We start from the raw sequence: 7,456 nt of genomic DNA on the forward strand, positions 1-7,456 counted from the left end.
AAGCACATCACATGCTGTTGGCTTATTTTGGCAGCCCAACCTGGCATTGTCTTTATACAATCCTCCATGCAATTTTGTATTTACAATAATCAGGAGCATTTCATCTTTTATTCCATAGCGATAGTTTCATGGGGTCTCCCTACATCTCCCCCTTTTCTCTGATTTAAATGAACCATAGCAATCATAGCTTGGCACTGATCACAATTGGATTGAAGAATATTTTTTCCAATTTTACACATGAACAATAAACCAATAGCACAAATTATACACAGAACAAAATTAATGATAGTGGATCCTCCCAAAGAGTTTACCCATTGAATGGGGTTGAGATTAAATAACCCCTCAAAGATACTGTCTAAAACTTCAGCACTGGGTAAAGCAGTTAAGTGTGCTTGAGATGACTCAAAAATCTGTTCTTTTAGCTTGCTTACGTCTAAACTTAAATTATCTTCACTTCCTTGTAAATGGCGTTTTACTGATTCCCAATTGTGAACAGACTCATTATATTGGAACGGAGTTATACAAAAATCAGAAGTATTCCAATCACATTGCATTTGTAATCTATGTTCTAAACTCATAATTCTATCTCCCATCCATATAACAGTTTGTCTTAGATCGTTAATTTGATTAGCCAATTTTTGATCAATACCTGAGAATTCCACATCCAAGTAGAATTATTTTGCCATTGATTCACAAAATGAACAGTTTGAATAGATTGATGTAATGCAACTCCAGCAGTAGCAGCATTTGCAGTAACAGCAATCAAGCCCACTATTACTGCAATTAATGTAAAAATAAATTGTTTACTCCTTTTAAGAATTTTTTGTAGAATATTGTTAATAACATGGATAGAAGGGGAAGATTCCCAAGGCCTATGTAAAGCTATGGGGAGCCAAATATCTTCTCTGGCTCTGACTATTAAAATACTATGATAATTGATTAAAGGATGAGTCAATACAAGTATACAACTAACAACACAGGTAATTATGTTGGTTTTTGGACTAATATGCATCTTTCCTACTAATAACATATGTGGTGGTTTAACACAACTTTTAAGTGGTATAGTTTTGTTAGACTCCATGTAGATAGTATATATATTTTGGGATGGTACTCTTTTTTGTGAATGTGGAGTGGGGGGAATAGGTTGTATGGCAGGTGGTGGGGGGACATTAGCAACAGGGGGGTATAAGTCCTCATAATCTTTACTGTCCCATCTTTGAATTGACCTTCTGATGATTGCCATAGTGATATTTTTGGCTATGTGGGAATAGTAATGTGAATCAATCTGTTGTCTTAGTTTTTGAGGTGACAAGGTGGATTTACTTATAACACTTTCCCCAGCCCAAACTCTCATACCAGTCATAGCTATGGTTAATCTCCATAATTCTGAATGTTCAGATCCTAAGTGGGGAACGATGAGCCTTGGCTTTGGAGAGGCAACCCCTGCCCCTTTCCACTTAAAAGGAAAAAAGGAGTTAAATCTATGATATACTAGGGGAGAGTTGTCACTACTTTCTTGATAAGTAATATCATAGAGAAAATGTTGACAATCTCTGTGACCTTGAGAGCAATCATTAGTAATATGACTTTTAGAAGCCCAACCAACAATGGTGTAGAGAGAAAAATTAAATAACACAGTTCTTTCTGTACTAACACAATCCTTCCATATTAATTTGTCAGTATTTGAAGAGAAGTTCAGAGGACATGCAGGTCCTAAAGGCTTATTTTGGGATGTGTGAATATAGTCAGCGATTCCTATTTTGATCTGCCTTAGAGGTTTTAATGACAGTCCTGATACCAAGTGTCCCAAAGGAGGGACAGAGTGACCAGATGGTAGTGTGTCCACCCATGTTTGAATATCTAATGAGAGACATCCATTAGTGAGTCCTAGGCACAAAGGTGGATACCTAAAACCTAAAGTAATATTGAAAGGGGTTCCTTCTTCTGAAGATAGGGCAGGACAACGATCATCTACAGAACCAGGCATCCAAATACTATCATTAACATAGACCTCGATAGGAGCATCCATCCATGTCATGGCTTGAATAAGAGGAGGAAAAGCAGGCCAGGCGTGTGGCTCACCCCTGCAATCCCAGCACTTTGGGAGGCTGAGGTGGGCAGATCACGAGGTCAGGAGATCGAGACCATCCTGGCTAACAAGGTGAAACCCCATCTCTACTAAAAATACAAAAATTAGCCGGGCGTGGTGCTGGGCACCTGTAGTCCCAGCTAATTGGGAGGCTGAGGCAGGAGAATGGCATGAACCCGGGAGGCGGAGCTTGCAGTGAACCGAGATTGAGCCACTGCACTCCAGCCTGGGCAACAGAGCAAGACTCCGTCTCAAAAACAAAAAAAAAAAAAAAAAAAGAGGAGGAAAAGGAATATAGGCTCAATATGTATAGTTTTTAACAGTTTGTGGAGTCACAGAGGGTGGAAGGATCAGTGTCATTAGGAGGAGGCAGAGGTTGAGCCAGACCTGGATCACTGGAGATGAGTTGTTCAGGATGGCTGACTGGATTGTCTGTTGTAAAGGAGTTAGTGGGGTTATTTTTTTTTCTTTGATGACTGGATGTGTTAGTTGTTTCCTGCTGTGGTGTTTTCTCAGTAAATTTCTCTGTCTCGTTGTCGCATGCATCTTCAGGACACAATTTCAGGTGTCTAGTAGGAATCCAAACAGGAGACTGATGTTCACCTGGGGAAACACAAGCATAGCCTCTTCCCCACGTTAAAATAGAAACTTTCAACCATATATTAGATTGAACATCTTTCCACCATACTTCCTGTCCTTGGTTTACCATAGGGTGGTTACCAGAGGAATGTGTTTTGGCAGCAATAACAGAACTAGATTTAGGAATATTAAGAAAATTTAACGTGAGCAATGCCAAGTTTAGTTGTATGTGAGGCGTAGACAACTCCTTATCCCCCTCTTTTTGTTTACGTATTGTAATTTTAAAGTTCTGTTACTTCCTTCTATAATAGCTTGACCTTGTGGGTTATAAAGAATACCAGTAATATGTTTAATATGCCACTGATCAAGAAAATTTTTAAAAGCTTTACTGCTATATGCTGGACCATTGTCTGTTTTGAGCTCACTAGGAATTCCCATAACCACAAAACATGAAAACATATGTTTTTTAATGTGAGAAGTGGCTTCTCTTGTTTGACAGGTAGCCCAGATGAAATTGGAAAAGGTGTCAACGGTGACATGCACATAAGCTAATTTTCCAAAAGAAGGAAAATGAGTAACGTCCATTTGCCAAACAATATTAGGAGAAAGGCCTCATGGATTAACTCAGGAAGATTGTGTGGGTAAGACAAGAACCTGACATTGAGAACAGTGTTGTACAACGTGTTTAGCCTGTTTCCAACTGAGACAATATTTATGTTTAAGACTTGAGGCATTAGTGTGAGTGAGTTGATGAAATTGTTCTGCATCTGCAATGGCTAGAGAAACTAGAGTATCAACTTTATGATTACCACTAGATAAAGGTCCAGGCAAATTAGTATGAGAATGAATGTGAGTGATGACAAAAGGGTGGTTTCGGTTTCTGACAGTTTTTTATAATAAAGAGAACAAGGAAAACAGATTAGTGTCAGCAATATTTTTGATGGTAGCTGTTTCTATTGCCTTAGTGGCATGGACTACATAAGCTGAGTCAGAGACAATATTAAGAGGCTGATCAAAATCCTGTAATGCAGAGATAACAGCAAACAACTCGGCTTTTTGAGCAGAAGTGTATGGAGTAGAAATGACTTTATCTTTTGGTCCTACATACCCTGCCTTTCCATTACTGGATCCATCAGTAAAAATGGTAACGGCTCCCTCTAGTGGTGATGAACGAGTAAGTTTTAGTAGAATCCAGGAAGTATTTCATAGCAATTGAAAGAATTTTGACTTAGGCAAATGATTATCAATAGTGGCAATGAAGTCAGCCAGATTAGTCTGCCAGCACAAAGATGTAGAAAAGGCATTTTTAACTTCATTTTTTGACAAAGGGACCACAATAATGTTTGGATCAAAGCCGGAAATTTTAGTGATATGTTGACATCCTAACCGAATTAAAGTGGCCGTTTGATCAAGATATATTGAAAGAGTTTTACAGGCTGAATTAGGAAGAAATACCCATTCAACTAGAGAATCATTTTGTACTATAAGTCCCCTAGGAGAGTGGATGGAAGGAAAAACTAAAAATTGTAAAGGCAAATTTGGGTCAATACGAGAGACTTGTGCCTCTCTCGCTCGTTGTTCTACAGAAGACAACTCTTGTTTTACTGGTTCAGATAGAGAGTGAGGACTGTTTAAATCTGTATCTCCTGATAAAGTGGCAAATAGATGAGATAATGCATAAGTAGGGATGCCTAGAGTTGGTCTGAGATAATTGATGTTACCCAGTAAATTTCAAAAAATCATTTAAGGTGTTTAAATTGTCAGTACGAAGTTGGACTTTTGGAGGCTTAATGGAGTGAGCTTCTAGCTGCATTCCTAAGTACAGAAAAGGAGTGGCTTTTTGAATTTTATCAGGAGTGATGTAGAGTCCTGCATTGGCAACAGCTAATTTTAAAGAGGGAAAACGTTGAATTAATTCATCTTTAGTGGGAGCAGCAATCAGTATATCATCCATATAATGAAGAATGTAATTATTTTTTAAAGTCTGTCAGATAGGTTGTAACACAGTACCAACAAACAACTGACAAATAGTAGGACTGTTAATCATTCCTTGAGGTAAAACTTTCCGTTGATATCTAGCTGTGGGAGCTGAATTGTTAATGGAAGGTATAGTGAAAGCAAATTTTTCACAGTCTGACTTGTCTAAAGGAATATGAAAAAAGCAATTTTAAAGTCAATGATAATTAAAGGCCATTCCTTAGGAATCATGGAGGGGGAAGGCATGCCGGATTGTAATGCCCCCATAGGTTAATAACTGCATTAACAGCTCTTAAGTCTGTTACCATCCTCCATTTTCCTGACCTTTTTTGTACAACAAACATGGGCGAGTTCCATGGAGACAAGGAGGGCTCAATAGTGTTTGCTTGTAGTAAATCATTAACAATTTCAGTTAAAGCCTCCAACTTGTGTTTGGAAAGTGGCCACTGCTCTACCCAAACAGGTGACTCACACATCCATTGTGCAGGGGCAGAGGAAGAGAAGGAGAGTGAGGGCACTGGGATGTGGACTGGGGGGAAGCAGGATTCCAAACCTCTGAAAGAAGGGGTCCCGGAGCATCAAAAGAAACAGTAGGCTTAGAAGAGGGGAGAAGTCCAAAAGGACGAGAGGAACAAGAAACAAGCCATTCAGGTGAATGCCACACATCCTCCTCTGGCAGAGGGGGCAACAGCTTAGTAGAAGAGTTAATATATACAGGTTCCAAGATAGGAGGCAGAGGGAGGGGATCATCACCAGGTTCCTCCTTTTGGGGAGAAAACAAGGAGAGATCAAATTCCTCCTCATCATCAGAAGGAGGACTAGTAGGGGGGGTCAGGTACCCAAGGTAAAGGGAGTGGCTCACCATCTGCATTAATTTGTGGCAGTTGAAGAGGATCACCAGACTGAAAAGGAAGTAAAGCAACAAGAATAAGAGCCCGGTCAGTCCAAACAGAAATAGGAAGTAAAACACCATCTCTCATGAGTTGGCAGAGCATGGCGCCAACTCTATCCCAGTCTAACAGGTCCATAGAACCTTTGTCAGGGAACCAAGGACAAGGTTTTTCAATAGTCTGAAATAAGAGAATAAGGTTACTGGAATCAGCCTTGATTCCACCCTGTTTAAGAAGAAGTTTAATAAAAGACAGATAAGCCTGGTGTTTAGACTGTGATTGTCCCATCCTAACCCTGGAATAATACTGGTCGACAGACCCAAAAACAGGGGAGAGTTGGAAAATGCGTACCCGGAGACCTTACCATCGAGACTGAAGACTAGTCATCACAAACCAGCACTCGGAGCGCACTGAGCTGAGGAACAAAGAAGGCCAAGTTGGGCCAGATATTGCAGGATCTGGCCAACAGCCCACAATGCAATGGGGCTCTTTCTTTGTTCCCAGGCAGATTGGCAGGTTAAGAAATAAAAGACACACACAAGATAGTGAAAGCTGGGTCCAGGGGGTTTACCGCCTTCTGGTCATGCAATGCCGCCAATGCACTGGATATACCAGCATTTATTATTAAGTTTAGTGAGGGTGGGGGTAGGTTAGTGAGGGATTTAGGGTCGTTTGATTATGAGGTGAGATGGTCACATTGGGATGAAGTAATTCTTTAACATAACATCAGTATGCAGAAGTACATATACAGAGATATGTACTTATACAGAGATAAGAATTTACAATATAGTGTGTGCATCAGCAATTTCTAACAGAGCCTTAAAACAGAAACACAGTCTATCCATAACCTATGTTTAGTAAGATACTAATCAGTAGTAGTAATTGCAGCAAAAGCTGGTTGCAAGCAATCAATAGAAGCAGAATGTGAAACTAGACAACCAGTTAGACCACAAATTCTCAGAAGGGAGTGTCTTAACCCTAAAGAGACCTAGAAGAGCCATGGCAACTTAAGGGCATTTATAGCCCTATCTTATCCATATGAACAGGCACCCCTCATGCGTCTATTTATAGGCTCTCCACAAGGGTCGCATTCCATTCCCAGAGATATGAACATCTGCTTTTCTGGGATAGGAATCTTGGTGATGTGAAACCTCCCTGACTGCATGTCCGTTTATAGGCTCTCTGTAGGGGGAAGCATATCATGTGCTGTTGGCTCATTCTGGCAGCCCAACCTGGCATTGTCTTTACACAATCCTCCATGCAATTTTGTATTTACAATAATCAGGAGCATTTCATCTTTTATTCCATAGCAATAGTTTCAGGGGGTCTCCCTACATATGCCAAATTTCAACACCTTATAATATTAGGAAGGGATAAGTATGAAATTAAAGATGGATGCCAAATCAAACATAAAATTACAGAAAACAATCTTAGTATTGTATGAAGAGACCAATTTTATTTAGATAGGAGCTACTTATCTTTTACTGGACCTCTGAGTTCTGGGCAGAGCTCACACTGAATCCTGGGTCTCCAAAGGGAGAACTATTATGAGGCTTTTGTGATGCTTTTACAGGGCACTTAAACCAAAAAATTGGGCAAGGGGATCCACCAAGATGGCCAAATAGGAACAGCTCTGGTCTGCAGCTCCCAGTGAGACCAACGCAGAAGGTGGGTGATTTCTGCATTTCCAACTGAGGTACCCTGTTCATCTCATTGGGACTGGTTAGGCAGTGGGTGCAGTCCATAGATGACGAGCAGAAGCAGGGTGGGGCATTGCCTCACCCCAGAAATGCAAGGAGTGGGGGGACCTCCCTTTCCCAGAGAAAGGAAGCCATGAGGGACTGTGCTATCTGGCCCAGAGACTATGCTTTTCCCATGATTTTTGCAATCTGCAAACCTGGAGATCCCCTCGTGTTCCTAC

General features: G+C 40.4%; 1 annotated feature.

Annotated features, from left to right (window-relative positions):
- Window positions 6,525-6,574: an enhancer, noted in NCBI's record as "active region_22461". NCBI's record gives its function as "activates an Ori minimal core promoter by ATAC-STARR-seq in GM12878 lymphoblastoid cells {active_cell/tissue: GM12878}" and the evidence as "EXISTENCE:reporter gene assay evidence [ECO:0000049][PMID:35858748]".

Source organism: Homo sapiens, chromosome 5 (genome assembly GCF_000001405.40).
Source record: "Homo sapiens chromosome 5, GRCh38.p14 Primary Assembly".
NCBI lineage: Eukaryota > Metazoa > Chordata > Mammalia > Primates > Hominidae > Homo > Homo sapiens.